The sequence below is a fragment of the Homo sapiens genome, chromosome 1 (genome assembly GCF_000001405.40).
Source record: "Homo sapiens chromosome 1, GRCh38.p14 Primary Assembly".
Taxonomy (NCBI): domain Eukaryota; kingdom Metazoa; phylum Chordata; class Mammalia; order Primates; family Hominidae; genus Homo; species Homo sapiens.
This window is the reverse complement of record NC_000001.11, coordinates 70,100,162-70,120,902: the sequence shown is the minus strand read 5'-3', so window position 1 is coordinate 70,120,902 and position 20,741 is coordinate 70,100,162. Positions and strand designations below refer to the sequence as shown.

The 20,741-nt window shown below is 35.0% G+C and overlaps 1 protein-coding gene across 6 annotated transcripts in view; it reads right to left on the bottom strand.

The window, feature by feature from the left end:
• LRRC7 (leucine rich repeat containing 7) overlaps positions 1–20,741 on the bottom strand; it is a 576,443-nt gene that overhangs the window by 23,462 nt on the left and 532,240 nt on the right. For 4 of the 6 annotated variants that reach the window (NM_001330635.3, NM_001366839.3, NM_001370785.2 and 1 more), the window contains one exon: positions 13,077–13,151. In NM_001330635.3, the coding sequence (NP_001317564.1) occupies positions 13,077–13,151 (75 nt within the window). The remainder of the gene's footprint in view (positions 1–13,076; positions 13,152–20,741) is intronic. The other 2 variants (NM_001366841.1, NM_001350216.3) reach the window with 1 other exon arrangement.

The window sequence follows — 20,741 nt, the reverse complement described above, 5'->3', positions numbered from 1 at the left end:
CTTCACTGCCGTAAAGGCAAAACTAAATACAACCTTATTGAAACTTGATAGAAATAAATCTTGGCAACTGAATGACTGATGGTTATGTAATTGCTTTCTTTGCGGTTTGAGACTCAGTTGATTAAGAAAAGAGGCAGTCAAGTTGACAGCTTGGCTGAATAGAGGTAACAGAGCCAGTTCACTGGTTGACTTCTTCAATTTTCAATGGACTGATACTTATTTTGGTTACACATTGCCTTTTTTATTTTACTTACTATTTTTATGCTTTCTTAAAATATGATTAATATTTCAGATAACCAATCACTTAATAATTAGACTCTTTCAGTGACTTTAGCTTTTTCAAATTTAAAGCAGCATTATATCTCTAGAAATGCCATACAGCCTTTAAAACTTAGATGAAAGTTATATGATACATTATATCTCATCACTAGTTCATTAAAATTGATTGACTAATGATGTAGTAAAGAAGATTCCAAAATATTACACTTGTAAACCATAGTAAATCTGCCAGTAAAAAAATACTAGATGACAGAATATAAATTCTTGGAAATTCATGTAATTAGAAGTAAAAATTTGCTTTGAATTAAAGAAATCTTAAATACATTCCTTAACAACATTTAATAAATGAAAATGCCCACAGAAGTTGGCATTGGCTGTTTCAGTGTCAGGAAACAGTAGTTGAGTAGAAGTTTGGGTGTGTTACACAGCTCAGATTTCTTGCTCTGCGTTATACTAAAAATCAGACAATGAGGTTACATTTGATGTTATTTCTGATCAGTTGGTGATGAAGAGTAAAGAATACAGCATATGGGCCATTCTTTTTTCTACTCTTAACCTGTTTCAGACATCAGGAACATAGCAAACTTGCATGAAATAATTATTTATTCCACTGTAGCTTTGAGGGATGTACTGACTACCTTAATGCCTTCAATTTGACCAAAATACCTTAATGCCTTCAATTTGACCAAAAGTTGTAACTTAATTGTGAAATTAAAATTGAACTTTAATAATGGAGTTCTTGATTGTCAAACCATAATAGTGACTTTGTGAGTGCTCAGATTTCTCTATCTGCAGACTCAAACCTAGAATTGCAATGAATTAAAAATCCACTGAGAATTTTCAGGGAATTGTTCAAAATTTAAATATCTCACAGTTAAAGAAATAAAAAATTTTCTAGGATTTGGAGGCCATGAATGGTATGTTGTTCATCATCATACTTGACATCGTATCAATGTTAAAAATATCAGTGTTAAGGGCGAAATTGGTATAAAACTTAGCAAATTAATCATAGCTGTTAATTTTGAGTGGTACTTTTATCATGAAAGATCTTCAAAGAAGGTTAGTCGGCTCTCAATGTGATTACTTAAGCATTTTTTTTTTTTAAAGAATGTCTGTTTTGTACTCACTTCCATAGGCATTGTGCTAGGCACTGGGGATGGGTAGTAAGAAAGAGATGAAACAGGAAGGCTCCAATCAAAAAGTAGCCATTCAGAAGGGGAAATAAGTCATGCACGTAACTAAAAATAACATAAAATGCCGCATGTAGAATGAGCCCTCAGTACATATATGCTGAATTGAATTAATATCTGAAGACGGAAATAAAGTGCTGGAGTAGTTCAGAGGAGGGCAAAGAAGAGAGGGACATCTTCTCTTTGCTGTTTCACTGAGGCATAGAACAAGTGTGATTCCCAAAGGACCACAGTCCTTGTCTTGTCTCATTCCTAGAGTCTCCTCGAGCCCTCAGTATGTTAACAGTTGTTTTTTTTTCAGGTAAATTCTGTAACAGTATGTGCAGAATAAAGCGTTCAAAAATGGTTCATGTGTGGAATCATTTTTCTAAGAAACAAAAAAAAAAGCACCAAATCCAAAACATGCGACTTTAGACCATAGGCTTTAGCATGGGAAGCAACCATAAAAATAAACTTACATAGAGGGGCTATTTTTTTTTAAACAAGGTGTTAGTTCAAAAAACCTCTTCTTCAAAAGGAAGAGAGCCCAATATGTAGAACATTTAGACAGATCTTTTTAGAGAGAGACAAAGAAAGGGAGAGAGGTGGAAGAAAGATTGAATCCAGTGAACCAGCTTACTTGCCAATACCTTCCCACCCCCCATTGTTCATGAAAGCCCAGTGTGAAACCTGTTGGTTTAGTCTAATCCTGTCATTTTATAAATGAAAGACCTTCATTTTAAGGAGACCAAACAACTTGTCTGAGGTCATACAACCAGGGAAAGGGCTAAGGCTGAATCACCTGATAACATAATATTCCTTCTTCTTGTTTCTTTCATTACTTCATTGAAATAATAAGACCACAATCATGTCAAGTAATTTGAGCTGACATTTCACTGGACATGATAAAATAATGAACATTTTTCCCTTAAAAAATTGTTGCTGTATCACCTCCAAAGATAATTCTGCTCTTTACAGTGGTTGCCAAACTATGATTCCCATTCAGATTTCTATCACATTTAATTTAACTTATTCTAAAAATATTGGTAGAAATAACATTTAGTCCTAAGTTAAAAATCTACAGAAATGCTGAATCTCCATTTTTTTTTTTTGAGTGGAAGGAGATAATAGAATAAATCTCAGTTCCAAAGAAACTTACTCTTTCTTAGGACAGAAGAGCAAAATGAATTGACATTGTATTTGTTAAAATGAATGTGGTTATCAGGCTTACATCTTGGATAGTTCAGACGGGGAATCAAACAACTATGTTACTATATTCGTGTAGGGCTTCTCCAGTTAAAATAAAGACCAGAAGAATCACAATATTCCAACTAATGGAGTTTTGCATTTTTGTTCGTGTGCGTGTGTGTGTGTGTGTGTGTGTGTGTGTGCATAGAAGAAGAGGCTGAGGAAATAAATGGTGGTACTGTGCAATGTTCATTGCAGGGTATAAACCCAATGATGCTTTGAAAAAATAAATGCATATGATTTACGTGCATGTCTATTATATTAGTAAATACATGCATACTATGCAAAAGACGATTTGAAGAACAAATGTTAAATTAATAAAAAATTTAAATTTTATTGCTGCATTTGGCTACCTATATGTTTTATATAAACACACTATCATAGATTTGAATAAAATGTGTACAATTTTGAGGAAATTGCAACCTAATGAAAAATGAGAAATAAATGGCTTAAGTTGAAATGAAGTTACCAAGAAAACAATCTAAAAAGGGAAAAGATATTCTGAAAATTTAATCCTTAAAAAATATGTAATTAATGGGTTTCTAGCTTTAGCTGATTTGAAAGTATGAAGGAACATTTTACTATAATCATTACATTATTTCCAGAAGCTCTCTCTCCTTTATTTAATTTTTTATTTGATATCTTCTGTGCCACAAAATGTTTTTTAATTGTCTCTTTTCATGATTTAGACATGAAAAGACTGAAGGTTAATGAAAATAGTATTTGCAATTCCAACAAAAAGTAGAGCTTTGCAATTACAGCTCATCAATCTATCATAAAACACACTTGGTTTCTGAATTTCCTCTCTTGTTCTCTCCTGGATTTATGTTTGATTACCTTCTGGTAAATGTTTTGTTAAATGGATAAATTATAGATGTTTATATTGCAGAAACAGTCCAGATGATGTTGTAATTTTCCTAGAAATTCTGTTGCATTCTTATTATCCAAAGCTCTAAGCTTAAAAATAGCTCAGAGAAGGCCTGGCCACAGGGTTGGTGGGATTATCCAACAGGGAGGACAGCACAGTTCATTTTAAACTCCAAAAAAAGAAATCAGCTTAGAGATATGGGCATGTGATTTCTGGTTGATTTAAATTCACCACCCAAAGGATAATCCTTTTTAAAGGACCAGTACACATAAATTTTGTATGTTAGAGAAATATTAGTACATTGATATCTTGCACTTTGAATGCCTACAGCTCTTAGGATGAGGGAAAATGAAATAATGCAGTGACCAAATTAGTGCCTTAAGAGCAAGCCTTCATGGTGTTCAATGATGATTGCCAGGTATTATGAGAAAGAGCAGGAATCTCAGATAATCCTCATTGTGCTTCACATTAACTAACTAGAATTAATTCTCATTTCAAATTTTAATCTGATAAGAGTACTCTCATTAAGTATTGGGATATATTTAGGGCTGAGTATACTCCATAATCAATACTATATTGACTCTATGCCAAGCTATTTAAAAAACTTTCCTTTCTATCAAAAACCTGAATTATAGACGTTCAGTTCTTAGAGAGTTCATATGAAAAATTTACATTGCTTTTGTAAATGTGAGAAAGTTTGAAGTTTTAATGAGTTTTATTCTAGTATTTAAAAAAAACCTTTGCAGAACAAAACATAAATAAGAATTTCTGTGTTTTTTTTTTTTTTTTTTTGACATGGAGTCTTGCTCTGTCGCCCAGGCTAGAGTGCAGTGGCGCGATCTTGGCTCACTGCAAGCTCTGCCTCCCGGGCTCACGCCATTCTCCCGCCTCAGCCTCCCGAGTAGCTGGGACTACAGGCGCCTGCCACCACGCCTGGCTAATTTTCTGTATTTTTAGTAGAGATGGGGTTTCACCGTGTTAACCAGGATGGTCTCCATCTCCTGACCTCGTGATGCGCCTGCCTCGGCCTCCCAAAGTGCTGGGATTACAGGCGTGAGCCACCGCGCCCAGCAAGAATTTCTCTTCTGTGTTAAGTACACACATGTACTGCAGCTTGAATTTCTCATGAATTAAGGCTCATAAAAGATATGGCAAGATAGAATATACTCAACTGAAGACTGAATTATTTGAATAGAAACTCAGGTGTGGAACTGATAATAAATAGTAAATCTGAATAAATTTATTTATCTGCTCTGATTTTTGAATGCTTGTTTTCTTTTTATCAAACATATCAAATGATCATCTTCAACAAATAAATTTCCTACCTTGATTTGCAAGCCAATTTCCCAACAAGCCACATTCCTTTTACTTTTCACAAAAAGAATAACTGCAAAATCAACCCCTAATTTTCAGGGGGCTCTTTGTAGCCAGGCTGGTCTCCATTTTGATGAAGAGCTTGCTCTTAAATGACAGGCTCATTTGATAAAAATGACAGGTTCATTTTATCAAATGTTTTATCAGGCTCTTAAATGACATTTTATCAGGCTCTTAAATGACAGGTTCATTTTATCAAATGTTTTATATTCAGCTCTTTTTATCTCTCTTCCTGCTTTGTTCCTGCTCTGTATAATTTGGGTATGTCTATTTCCAGGACTAGGTTGTGGAAGGCAGGAACTTGGTTACATTCATATAACATTGTTTACATTGCTTGGCACAATACTTTGTACACAGTGGGCATTTGATGCACATTTTCCAGGTAAATAAATAAATTAGAAAATGTAATAAATATGACACTATCAGCAAAATTTGCTCCAGAGAAATCAGTATTGCGTAATGGTGTGAAAGTTGTCAGAATCAAATAGAGTGACTAGTGTTAAACAAAACAAAACAAAACAAAAAACCTGGCAAATAGAGCGGGGAAGGCCATGAAGAGAGGGTTCTCATACTTGTATACCCAAGTATGAGATATACAAAACGATAACAAAAACTATCACAAAAGACTGCAAAAACACAACCTTACACAAAAACCATTGCAACCTTACACAAAAAATGCTTCTGCAGGGACATCTGCCCAGCAATTGGTTGTCCAGTCTTGGACTGGCATCATCCTTGCTATTGATCTTTGTAGTCAAGGATAATTATTTAAAAGTAGTTACATAATCCTTATTTTTTCCTTTAAAAACCGTTGTCTTTCTTTACCTTCCTGAATACATACACAGTTTACTATGGCATATGTATTCCCATTTCAATGCTCTATTCCCAAATAAACACCATTTTCTTTTAAAGAGTCTCTCTCTGCTTGTTATTTTGTTGACAATGGAAGAACTCAAATAAGTTATCGAACATCTGTCAGTAATAGATATCTTGCAGGGTTGTATGATTTAAATGACACAATAAAGACACTTAATGGATGTTACTTTTCTATTAACTAAACTATGAAGGATAGAGTCACCTTAAAAAACTTAATTTGTTTTATTGGTTTTCATGTTTTACTAAATAACTCAAAATATTTTTTGATTTTCAAAAAGCATTTCCTCAACATTTTTATTGGTTTTCTGTGCAAGAACTTTGTATATTATGAACAAAACTAAATGTATAAAAATATGCAGTCAAAATCTGGCATATAAAACCACACTTTAAAAGACAGTTTAACGATGGGTTCTCATTCTGTAACCCAGGCTGGAGTGCAATGGCTCTATCATAGCTCACTGCAGCCTCAACCTCCTGGGCTTGAAGGATCCTCCTACCTCAGCCTCTTGAGTAGCTGGAATTACACATGTGTGCCATCACGCCTGGCTAATTTTTAATTTTTTTCGTAGAGACGGGGTCTGCTATGTTGCCTAGGCTGGTCTTGAACTCCTGGCCTCAAGCAATCCTCCTGCCTCTGCCTCAAGCAATCCTCCTGCCTCTGCCTCCCAAAGCACTGGGATTACAGGTGTGAGCCACTGTGCCTGATCAACATAGTTTTTAACCTATTTCTAGTTCCCTTCTAATCCAATTGTATTAAAATCTTACTCTTCAATGTATTATATCATTATAAGCAATTATTTACCTAAACATTAAAAGTTATGTGATTATTCCTCCATAGTCCCCCACCCTCAGTGTCTCTGGTGCTTTTGATTTTTAACCACAAATAAGATAAACTATAGAAATGTGGAACTTACTTGGCCTTGTTGGGAAATGCTTTAGTACAATTTTTAAATATTTTATTTTTTAAGGGTCCAACACTTCATTTTAACCATAAACAATTTCTCACTCTTCAGGTTTTTTTTTGGAAGATTTTTTTTAAAGAATTTTTTAAAATTCAGAAAATGAACATTAACCATTTCTTAATGATTTACGGTAATAACTGTGAACATCAACACTCTCTTAGGCACATACATGGCCCAGTTAGTTTGTTTCTGTAACAAACATTTCCCAAAATGTGTTGTGTGGAAGTGGTTAATTGATGCTTTGGTAAAGAGGACTGTATGGTTAAATATGTTGAAAAATATATCTGTAAGAATTCTCAGAGTTCTTAGCCTGTTTAGTACAGTGTAAAGTCCTGAAACAAGGGATAGAGTATGAAGTGATTTCAAAACTTAGTTGACCATGAACTCTTTTTTTTTTTTGAAGATATGTCAAAAAATGTCATTGAGAAAACTGTTCTATACTGAAAGTACAAAACTTTCTTTTAAAAGCCAGAAACAAGATTTTAGAAGTACAATCTGCTTTTACTTTAAAAGTACAATGTGCTTTTAAAATCTTGTTTCTGGCTTTCAAAAGAAGTTGTTCTCTTCTGTTTCTCGCTTTTAAAAGAAGTTTCTCTCTTACTGCAGAGTGAAGCTGTTGGCTATGACTTCTTGCTTCTGGCAATGAGTCTGGAGCCAAAGGCTTTCACCTTGGTGGTCTGGACAACTAGATAAAAGACTCCCAGGTATGATATAAATTCTCTCTTATGAGTAAAAGGAATGAGATTTAGTGCATGGGCTTTGTGACATTAATTATGGATCCTCAGAAGCACTTTGTTTGTTTTCTAGCTTATGTTTTTTTTCTTATAGCTGAGGCTGTTGAATAAGTGAGCTTTACCTAAGCAAGAAAATTCTCTCAGCAAGCTGATCACACCTACTGGTCATTAAGAGAGCCATCAAATTTCCATTCAGACAAGGAAGCGTGATTCAGTGTTTGTATATATATCTGTGTACAACAGATCCAGCCATAGACAGACATTTCATTTAGACTTCTCTTTGTGGAGTCTGAACTTACCTCTCCCATTCTGAGCCTTGAATGCCATATCTTGCTCGCTGTCTCCCCCTATCGCCATCCTGAGCCTCGCTCCAACTCATCTCCATGTTTGAAATTCTCCCAGTCCATGAAAAACTTATTAAAATCCCAGGGTTTCCTTTCTTCATGACTCTAACACACGAGTCTGGGGTCTTCCTCTCCAATATTCTCTCCTTTATACTCCATATTCACCCTTTCTAGCATAAACCTCTTACCCCTGCTCCTGAAAACTCATGCCAGTCTAGCCCACAGATATTCCTCCTCCTCCTCCTCCTTTTCTTTCTGTTAAGCCTGGAGGAACTTCTGCTCCACCAGGAATAAACTCCCTTCTTTCACCTCCCTCCACAACCAGAGATCTCCATGATCCCCAGTGCACCCTGCCACACAGGTCTCCTCTCCCTCTCCCTCAGTGATTCACTGGAGGAGGTAAGAAGAGGAGGGTCTTACATCTTGTACTTTTGTTTGTGAGTGGCCATCCTCTCTGCATCCCAGGATACACACTTTTATATTAATCACTCCATTCCCTTAACACAGCTACAACATTTATTAGATACATCACAAAATCAAGTACTTTATTAGTTTCCTAATGAGTGCATACATTCACCTTGTCTCCCTAGCTATTAGCTCCCTTAGGACACATGACTTCCCTCCTACCTATTAAGGGGCTTCTAATGATATTCCCTTATAAGACACTAATCAGGATGTGGAGTGGAATTGTCAGTGATTATAGAACAGAGCAATGATAATAGGTCTAATGGGCATCAAACCCCATGATTTTGGCCAAGAGAAGATGCTCTGAGCTGAACAACTTACCAAAAACTAACTTTAAAAAAGTAAAAAAAGTGCAATAATAATGACTCTGCTAATAGCCCAAGTATTTGTTGATAGACTTATTGTTGACAGTAGTTTCTTGAACTGTCTATATGAATTGTTGGGCCAAGGTTCTTTCTAAGACAAGAAAAAAAGAAAAATATCTAGCTTGTTTGAATTATTATCTCATTGATTATTCCCTTTTAGCATCTTGAAATACAGCCATAGACAAAGAGTATGTTTGGATTGCAAATTCCAAAACCCTTAAAATGATGACAAGGTAAAAGAGACTATAAAATTATCTTCAATTAAGTACCTTATTTATATATCTCATATTAGAAAAATCTGTTTTGGTTATTGGCAAAATCTAGATGTCATCAACTAAATCTCTATAAATTATATAATTTCTCTTTCTTGCCAAAATTAGGCTTATGTATGGAGATGGGGGTGGGTAAATGAAGAGGAGAGGGTTTGGCTTCCCTGATTGAACAGGACATACTTGCGAGTGAGTTTTAGGTTACAACTGTGAATCTGTTGTTAACTATCAGGTACAGTATGTATTTTTTTCCAGTCTATTCATCTTTTCAACAGAATAACTATAATTACTAGATTTTCTGTATTCATATATATTTTGAATCATAAAATGTATAATGAATTAGACTGAATTTTTTAGCTGGAAAGAACATTAGAAAAAAGAAACTATGACGATAAATTAACAAAACTGTCATTTCAAATATTGGCAAATTCACATGGCTTATTCTAGCATATTTTTATATTCCATGTGCTTTCAGTTTTTTCTCTTACTGTTATATAATTGAACTTAACAGAAGGTGAGTCTATGAAGGGTCAGTTGCTCTTTCCATATGCCACACTGTCTTAGAGTAATTATAATGTGTCTATTCCGGGAAAATGAATAGTACAACAGAAAAATGATGTGAATGTGTTTTAATTAACATCATCCCTTATTGCACACATCTTCATGTAATTCAAATAACATGCTCATAATATCATAGCTGAAGAAGAAAAGAGTGGATGGTATAAAGAATTATAGAGAAAGAAAGAGATCTAATAAATTCTGGGTTTGGGAAGAGGGATTAGGAAAGACATATCTCTTGTGCTCTCTCATATATCTTTTGCTATTTGCTATTGGGTTAGATTAAACCCCAAAAGTATTGTCACTTAGGGAGGGCCATTCTTTTCTTTTTTCTCTTCTTTTACTTCAATTCTCCAGGTTGAACATTGCCATTAAGCTTTGTAAATAAATTCGCTCCATTGAAAACACAAGATTCTGATCTTTTAAGTGATAGATAACTCAATGTTATTAACCCATTTTTTCCCAGCATTCTTTAAACTAAGAGACAATAGTATTATATATAGATAAATATATAGCTTGCCTTCTTAGCATCTGATATTGCAAACAATTTCATTTTAGAATTAGCCATTCTCGTTTCTTTCAGAAAGTATAATTGGCCATGTATGCTTTTTAATTAGTATGACTGAAACTGTAAATACATAATTTATTTGATTAAAGTCCATGTACTTTTTCCTTTATTGAAAATGGGCTTTGATTTTATTGGACTAGGTACAAGTGAGTTCTATGGCAAAAATAAAATGTCACATCCTTGATAGTCATTTGTGGAGAGAAGAGACATCTTGGGTGCAGCTTTTCTGCAGTATTCTTGGCTGAAAATTTCTTCCTACTTCTTGCATGAGGAATCCATTTCCTTGCACTTTGCTGTTGTTTTTACCTCTCCAGGATTAGAAATACTGAACCCTCATAACCCTCACGTCCCCACATATAATTCTAGAATTTCATAGCCAGAAAAGAGCATTCTAATACCTTGCAAGTAGACACTAATGTCTTTATTTTTATTTTTTATTTTTTTAAGACAGATTCTCGCTCTGTCACTAAGCCTGGAGTGCAGTGGCATAATCACAGCTCACTACAGCCTCCAACTCCTGGGCTCAAGCACTTCTCCCACCTCAGCCTCCCTAGTAGCTGGGATTACAGGTGCTCACCACTGCACCTGGTTAATTTTTAAATTTTCTGTAGAGACCAAGTCTCACTGTGCTGCCAAGGCTGGCCTTAAACTTCTGGCTTCAAGCCATCCTCCTGCCTCTGCCTCTCAAAGTGGTGGGGTTACAGGTGTGAGCCATCATGTCTGGCCTGACACTAACCTATGTTTCCATCTGCAAGATATACTGTGTATAATTTTGTTATAATACTTACATATACATTTCTGAATTCTAGCAAAAGGGAAAAATCTTTATTTTGCTTCTGTCATGGAGGAAGGAACTCTGCAACGTTGTGTCAAGCTATAGCATACTTCTCTACCCAGCTTCACATTCTAGTAGGTAAGAGATCTGAGATTAATTGGCTATATTTTTTTCCAGACTCTAGGATTTAAAATAATTTCTTTGAAATTCAGTGGAGAAAAAAATTAGCCATTTCCTTTGCTAATGAGCAGCATTTACCAAATGTTAGAGAGTTATGTTGTTAGTTTATTCTCAGCTGTTTTTCACTACAATTCATACAATTTTCAAAGAGTTGAATTTTTGAGCTAGGAGGGATTTCAGATATAATATAAACAGCAGTTCATTTTACACATAATGAATTTGAGGCCCATAGACATTATTTAAAATATCTAAGATCAAAGGACTAGTTAGGCTATCCAAAAATATAGAACTTCCATAATAAAGTGGTAAAGGAAAATTTTAGATTATTATATGTGTGGTTTTTATTGTTTCTCAGCTCTAGCTCAAAAGACCAACTGCTATTTACATCTTCTGCCTGCATAGAATGAACTCAGGCCTGCTGGGTGGTGTTTCTATTGTGACATTGGCACAGGCTGAAGTAGCTTAAACACTTTTCAGAGAACTATCATTTTTGAAAACTTGAGTAGCTGATTGTGATCTTGCTAATTAGTTTAAAATATTTCGGAGAGGCCGGGCGCAGTGGCTCATGTCTGTAATCCCAGCACTTTGGGAGGCCAAGGCGGGCAGACCACCTGAGGTTGGGAGTTCGAGATCAGCCTGACCAGCATGGAGAAACCCTGTCTCTACTAAAAATACAAAAATTAGCTGAGTGTGGTGGCGCATTCCTGTAATCCCAGCTACTTGGGAGGCTGAGGCAGGAGAATTGCTTGAACCCGGGAGGTGGAGGTTGTGGTGAGCCGAGATCGTGCCATTGCACTCCAGCCTGGGCAATAAGAGTGAAAGGCTGTCTCAAAACAAAAACAAAAACAAAAACAAAACAACAACAACAACAGAACAAAACACCACCACCAAACAACAACAACAAAAAAACCAAAAAACATTTCTGAGAATGAAATGTTAAAGCAATCTTAGGATTTCTACTTTTCTAGGACTTTCTGAGAGAACGCAGTACATTGGAGATAGAAGATCTCCTTGGAGCTGACTTGAGGGGATCCTTGCATTTTTAAACTGTGTTTGTATAGTTGATCTAAGGTTCCTTTTTCACATGTCAACTGTGTTTGTATAGCTGATCTAAGGTTCTTTTCACATGTCTTGTCTTCTCAGTGAATCTAAATGTTCAGTATATTATGTTGAGCCATTTCATAACTGTTGCAGATGGTCAAATATCAGCAGTATCAAGTAGTTCCACCTATTTATATAACGGGAAATTTCTGGGGTTCTAAGTCAAAATACTGAAGCTTAAATACATCGATAATGCTTAAGAGCTTTTCCTTGGAATGTAGAAAATGATTATGCACCTCTTATATAGGAAGTGAATTAATGAGCTTCAAATCACTGATAAGAAACAAAGCAAAAAATTAAAGACAGTGAATTCAGAGAGAAGGACAAAAAAAGTCAAATAAATGAGTTTATGTAAAGTATTTGCTTAATTGTTTATTGGGGTGAACCTTTTCTGATATGCAGAGCTTTAAGTTAGTGAAAGTCATCTTCCATCACACAATGCATTTTTAAAAGTCACCTTATATAGAGCTAAACTTTTGTTTATCTAAGCAGGGGGAGTAGAATGATGTATTATATATTTCATAGCATTCAAACAGTAATAAGCCTGTGGTTGAGAAATTAAATATGGACCAGTTCCTTCTCCCTCATGAAAGTCACACACATACTGTGTTTGGGAACTTACTCTTACTTGATAACTATGCATAGATTAATATATATATATAATATATATATTTCTTATATTATCAAGTAATTCCATTCAATTCAACAAAAATATGCAAAACATCTGTCATGTGCCAAGTACTGTGTAAGGTGCTAGGGATATAAGATTTGTCAGACTGAATTGTTTTTGACTTGACTTTCAGCCCCAAAATAATAAAGGCAAATAAGCAATGTGAGAAGGACTTATTTTCAATCATTTAATTCAAATCATTTAACTTGGTAACATGGTTACATATTTGTCTCAGTATGGCATTTGCATGCATTTCTTTTATCTGTCTTACCTGAAGGATCTTATCACCAGGCTGCAGTAGGTTTGATGCTGGCCCATCAGGCTGAACCCTAGTAACAAAGATACCCTATAAGTCAGAAGTAACAGAGGTTAGGATTCTATTACCAAGAACCAGGCCTACTTAAACAAATCTTCATTCACATAGAAAACAGTGAAAACAGATCCAGAAACAGTTTATGCATGTAGGCTTCAAAGAATATTATAGTATTTTAAGCAAGGCAGCACTCTCCAAGTCAAGTTTAAGAGAAGCAACATTTTTGCTTGCAAAAAGAAGCTTATCTTGTTTTGAAAGTGCAATTATGATTTATAAATTGATCTCATGGCATATTCTTAATGATTTTTTCCTTAAATCATTTGAAATGTGATGCTGAATCATTTTTTGTATAAATTCTGAATTTGTCTTCAGTTATTCTACTTAACTATGTCTCCATTAAAGGCAGTTGAAGGTATTTGAAAAAGTATCTCTATTTGATAGGTTATAAGTTCATTGTATACTTTAAAAGCTTTACTAGAATTATATATACGACTGGTTTATTTTAATGCATATTGTTTCATATGTTACTGAGAATTTTAATATAAAATGTATATGAACAAATTAAACATAAGCAAACTGGAACATGCATTTTAAATAAAGTTTATGACTATGTGGTTATAAAATCCCTAAATTGATTAATGCAGTTTATAAGAAAGTCAAATTAATTTCATTGACCATGTATAGAAAGAAAACATATATTGAATGTCTATCACATGCTAGGCCTGGATGGCTCATGATATAGAGATAGACAGAATATAGTTTCTGACTTTAATGAGCTCACAATCTAGTGGAGGAGAAGTCAAGAAAACCAATAATTATAAACATTGTGACAAGTGTTATGATAGAGGTATAACAGATTGTAAAAATATGTTGCACCCAGCTTATATTTGTGTGTTAGGTTCTTCCAAGAGGAGAAGATACCTGATAGCTGAATAACAAAGAACACACAAAAGTCATCCACACAGGTAAGGGGAAGAAGGAAATTGCAGAGAGAGGGGACAGCACATAAGTGAGTGTGCCTGTTATATCTGGGAAATTTCAAGTGGTTCTGCTATGGCTGGAGTGCTGATGGAAGGGTGGTAGTGGATGGGATTGGGAGCGCAGCAGAGGATCAGGCCAAAAAGTAGGTTAGGGCAAGATTAAGATGGCCTTTCATAAACCTTCTTACTAATTTCAGGTGCTACTGAAAGATTTTAAACATGATTGTGATAAGATTTTAATTGACATTCCAAGAATAAACTGATGAATGGATAAACAAAATGTGGTATATATCTATATAATGAAATATTATTTGGCAATAGAATGGAATAAAGTATGGAAACATGCTACAACATAGAAGAAAACGTTATGAAAACACTATGCCCAGTGAAAGAAACAAGTCACAAAAGGCCAAATATTATACAATTCCATTTATGTGAAATATCAAGAATAGGCAAATGCACAGAAACAGAGAGCAGATTAGCATTTGCCAGTAGCTGGGGAGTAACTGTTAACATGTACGGAGTTTCTTTTTGTATATAGTAAAAATGTTCTGAAATTAGATAATCATGATGGTTGCACAACTCTGAACACATAAAAATCACTTAATTGTACACTTTAAATTGTAGAATATCAACTATATTTCAATATAACTGTTAATAGTTTTTTATTCCTAAGCATTATTAATAAAATAGAAGACAATATTTTGATATTCTTGCTTGTTATTTAGAAAAGCATGTTATTTGCTGATCTGTAAACATAATGACTCACTTAAGCTCATAACTTTGTGTGTGTGTGTATATGTGTGTGTATGTGTAAGTGGTAACAGACCCAAACTAAAATACTTCTACTTGTGTTTTCACTTGGCTTTTCAGAAGTTTATGAAACCTATTAAGACTTTTGAATGATTTTTATCTTTCATATTTTAATCTGTTTTCCTTCTTATTTAGAGATGACACTACAGATAGGCATCAAAATTTCTAGAAAACTGTATAACTTTTAACCAAGTAATTAGACTTCTAGGACTTAAGGATATAACTGGACAAATATGCAATATACATGTGCTAATATGTTCATCATAGTATTATTTATAATAACAAAAATTACAAACTATACTTAACAGTCTAATAACAGGGCATTGATTAAAGAAATTATAGTAAATCCATACAGTAGAATGATATGTGGTCATTAAAAGTGAAGTCCTAAATGGCTGATGTAGAAGTACACAAATGTTTAGTGAAACAAGCAGGTTATAAAACAATGTGTGTGGTAGGATGCTATTTTTGCTGAAATGTGTTTATATATATATTTGTGTGGACAAATATCTGCAAGGATATCTTCTAAACATTAACAGTGGTAATACACAGTAATGGGACATCAGATTTTTTTTTATTTTTCCTTATTTGTGTTTTCTTATTTTTCTACAATGATTATGCACTACTTATAAGATTAAGAAAATAAAACAAACTTAAAAAATTTGGGTTAATGGTGGCACTCAGGAGTGATGCTTTAACAGCGTTGGCCAATTCAGCTGTAAAAATGGTCAATTCAAAAGAAAAAGAAAACTAGTTGTTTGAAAAAAGACAGTTAAATAAGGCTCAATGATTAATCAACCAGGCCAGTGAATGGCACTAGTTGTGACAACAAATATAATCCCCATGGTTCTTTCCACACTGGGCAAATAGCTCTCATCTTCCATCATTTGAAGAGACTATATATACAATCAGTTCCCCTGGTAGCCCCTCCTTTGCTACTGGGGTCTCTGTACAATAGGCAGAATGACTCTTTTGCCCAAAATAAGCCACTACATCTCTGATTGCTGGAAGTGAAGTTGTTTTTGGCTATTATTTTATCTCAGCAGTCAAAATGACTGCTACTCAGTTAATTTTGATTGCCTTTCTTTAGCTCATTGTACAGGAACAGTTTTAATAATGTTTGTATGAATCCAGATCATAGAAGCTGAATTAAGGTCATCATATCTGCAATGCTGGGAGGAACTAGCAACACTCCACACCTGACTGCTGAAAGAATACAAATGTGGTGTCTGTGGCAGGTTTAATTTCACTCATCACATAGCTCTGGAGGATTCAACCTCTGTTCTGAAGACTTGCTTTGCTTACTCTTATGGTGGCCTGAGTCTTCCAAAGCATGTATTGCTTTTTTCTGAAAGTTTTATGATTTCACTTTATTATGTCTTTTCAATCAATAAGCTTCATTAACTAAAAAAATGGTCCTGCCCGTTGGTATAGTTTCCTTTTTTCCAAGTATATCCTATCAGCCAGCATACTGCCACATTAATCCAAGCAGAAAGCAATGACTGCTTTGTTTGATCATGGTCTGTGGCATTCACTATTTGTGGAGGTGAAATATCTCCCAAGACTGCCTGCAAAGGTCAGTGGCCTAATTTTTAATTGTATTTAGGCATATAAACATTGCTATATGAAAGAGACCAGATAAATCTAAACCCATTTTGTGGTCTCTTTTATGATGAACATTGATGAGAAATGTGAAAATGTGAAAATGTTGACCCTGCTTTGAAAAAGCTCATTGTAACAACTCATTTTATCCTGAGATTTTAAAGAATACTTTGGCACTGATGACAGAGTTTGGTGGGAAATAATCAGTCTGTTTGTATTCTAAAAATTAGAAACAATAACTTCCTACTGTTTGGTGAAAAGCTATCTCCTAACTTCCAAACAACAAGAAGCCAACTTGTGTGTATCAAATATACAAATAATGGCATCTTACAAATCTTTCAACTCCGCTAGCAAGATCTTAAATGTGTTCAGTTTCTTATAACATTTGGCAGAATGCTAAATGAAGGACAAATTATGATGCAATACATTTAAAACTAGCTATGTAATGTACTAATGTAAGTCAAAATGAAGAATTATAATAGCTTATTATTGCATAGCTTTATCATAAAACTTTATCATAAAACTGCTGTTATATAATAACCCATAAAACCAGGAGATAAAAGTAGCAGCAACTTTAATTTCAAGTTTAATTTACATACCATGAAGCATTCTCTCTGCTTCTGTCAAGTCCCATAGGAAGGGAATCATTAACCCTCTTTTTCAATAAGGCAATATATATTAGTTTTCTACTGTTGCTGTAACAAAGTTCCATAAACCTAGTGGCTTAAAACTTCACAAATTTATTATTTTACTGTTCTGTAGGTTAGAAGTCCAACATAGGTCTCACTGGGCTAAAATAAAAGTTTTGGTACGGCTGCATTCTTTTCTGGAATCTTCAGGGGGAGAATCCATTTCTCTGCCTTATGTAGCTTCTAGGAAATGTCCACATTCCTAGGCTCATGATCCCATTCTTCCATCTTCAAAGCTACCAATGGTGAACCTCTCTGACCATTTTTCTGCTGTAACATCTCCCTCTGACTGCAGCTAGGAAAGATTCTCCATTTTTAAGGCCCATGTGATTACACTGAGCCCATCTGAATAATCCAGGGTAATCTTCTCATCTTAAGGTCCTTAACTTCACCACATCTGCAAAGTCCTGTTTGCCATGTAATGTAACATATTCACAGTTCTGAATAATTAGGTTTTTTTTTTTTTCTTTTTGAGACAGGGTTTCATTCTGTCGCCCAGGCTGGAGTATAGTGGCATGATCATGGCTCAATGCAGCCTTTGCCTCCTGGGTTCAGGTGATCCTCCCACCTCAGCCTCCTGCGTAGCTGTGACTACAGGCATGTGCTACCACACCTGGCTAATTTTTATATTTTTAGTAGAGACAGGGTTTTGCCATATTGCCCAGGCTGGTCTTGAACTCCTAAACTCAAGTGATTTGCCCACCTCGGCCTCCCAAAGTCCTGGGATTACAGGCATGAGCCACTGTGTCCAGCCTAGGATGTTTTTGAGAAGCCATTTTTTCTGTCTACCACACTGTGCAAGCAGTGGTCAAGAGCATAGCTCTTGAGTTTACCTGTCTGTGTTCACCATTTACAATTGGTGACCTTGGGCAAGTTAACTTCTATGGACTTTTCCTCATCAGTACAATGGGTTAATAAATGGCACATACTTTATAGAATTGTTAGATGAAGTGACTGAGTCCATATAAAATAGAACAATGGATGACACAGTATAGCATCAATAAATGTTACTTTAATTATCAAAAGTCTGAAACTCTGCCAGGCACGGTGGCTCACTCCCTTAGTCCCAGCACTTTGGAAGGCTGCAGTAGGCAGATTGCTTGAGCCCAGGAGTTTGAGACCACCCTGGGCAAAATGGTGAGACCCCATCTCTATTTTTACTTCTTAAAAAAAGTCTGAAACTCAATCTACAACTCAAGGTCTTTAATCCAGCAAAGCCCACATTGAGAGTTTCTGAGTCTCCAACTATACCACATTTATTGGCAGAAAAAATTCTTTTCCTCTCTGTTTAGAGTATATTGAAAGGACAATATTTGCCATCTTTCCTCTGAATTCCTAACAAATAAGGGGACATTGGCACCTCTTATTTAGGGAAGGGGATGAGAAGGGGCTGGAAAGTTCCTCCTGCCTCATCTATGGTTTCCTGGTTGTGGCTCACAGTGATAATGGCTCCAGTTACTGTTCACTCTTAGTAGTGGACATGAGTCCCATCTGGAGGGCTTTCTAAATGATTTTTTATTAACTTTCAGGGACTACTTCCTTTAGTAGCTCCAAGTCAGGAGTATCAACCCTTTATAGTAATGGCTAATAGAATCCACTGTAGTTAGTGGCTTGTGGCATCTCTAAGTGAGTTTTTCTTATGTCTCTCACATCGGGTTCTTTAGTGACTTGAAAGCACAATGGCTTTCCCTCAGCACCACCTCTAGAGGGTATCTCACAACAGAGCAACATGGTAGGTACTGGAAGCTCCTTTCAAAAGAATGGAAATCTTTGCTCTTCTCAGACACCAGCATTCAGACATGTTTGAGACAGGCACAGATCCTGTGGATTCATGCATCACAGAGGGACTCCTCTAGGTTTGAACCAAAGCTAATCTAGAGAGGGCTAGCTGGATGAGCCACATAGGCATGATCTGTTGCCATTTCCTATTTCCACCTCATTTAAAAACTATTAATAGTCTTTATACAAGTCATAAGTGATTATTCCAGAAGTACTCATAATGGGCTTATGAAAAGTTTGCTTTTCACAGTAATTTTGGAAAAAGGATAAGTTTGGGAGGCTTCTTGCATTGTTAAGATCTGACCTTGCCTTACTGGTTACCTAGCCTCTACATCCCTGGACATAAACCTTAAAGGACTTAGAAAGTTAGTTTACAAGGCCAACATTTAACATTCTAAGTTTAGAGGAGAAAGGAAGTTTATATGGCTTTTTAATGATGAAGGTGAACGATTGTGACAGTCTCAGCCATTGTAAATGTAGATACCAAAATAGAACTTGTCTTAAGGGACCTATGACTTCAACGTATGAAATATGCTTTTCCTTAAAATTCTGAAAAGTCTTGGCTCTAGCTGATGCTGAGAAATTGGTTTCTAGAAAGACTATATCTCAAGTAAAAATTATATACAATTACAATTCAGAACACATGAGTTAAAAATAGCATATAGCATTTTATGCTTTCATATAACTATGGAAGTTCAAAGAGTGTTTCTAGAGGCAAAACTGACTCATGAAAACAGCAAACAGAGCCATAGATTCAATTTTTAGGGGGAAACTTTTTTTCTAAAAAAGTAGCAAATATTAATCTTCTTTCATAATGTGGGCAATATCAATATTGAAGCTATATTGTGGCTTGTAGAAGCAACATTAGATATACATAAAAGCCTATATTTACTTAGTCTCTATGATTATTAGAACACTTGACATATCAAGGATAAAGGTATTATCAATAGTGCTCCTCTCCAGGAATCAAAAGTGTGATGACAAAGTATTTTAAGGTTAATTGCTATGCATCAAGTTTTACGCTTTGAATAATTTGCTACCTTAGCAACTGATAAATTTATATGCATCAAGAGAAGTGATTTATCCTATGGCAATTAGAAGTTAAGAGAGAGGAGAAGTGAGGGAAGAAGAGAGAAAGAGGGAGAAAGAAAGAAAAGGACATCACAAACCAGTTAATTGTAAAATCTGTAAAAGATGAACAGAAGGAGAATTGCTTTAGAAACAGAAAATTTAAGGAAGAGATACAAGAAAAAATTCTGCAACTGACTAAAGTCTTCTAAAAGTTTAACAAAAATTTTACACATAGAAAGGAATTTCAGTTTCATTAATTTTTAAAAAAGTAAATATTACAACGGAAATCACTTGGTTGCATTTGTAAAAAAATTTATTAATAATGCATTGGAGCAACAAAGAGACTAGTGCAACCCAAAGAAATGGACTATGGGATCACAAATCTCTTAGTGGCAATATAATGAAATGTAATATTCTAGCAAAATAAATACACATTGTTTGGTCTTTGGACTTGCATCATTCTTTTTGGTCAGTCTAAAAGTTTGTTTAGTAGCATATATATCAAGATGATGCTCTTCAGAGCTGTTAAAAGCAACCAAAAATAAGCAATTTATTCCTGTTTCTCTGAGATTGCTTTTAGAAATGATATATAAATACTAGAATATTTTTTATAGTTTGATACTGATAATTGTGGGCTGTTCTTTTTTAGATAATTTGAACGTAAGTGCTAAAATTGTGTTTGGTTTTGG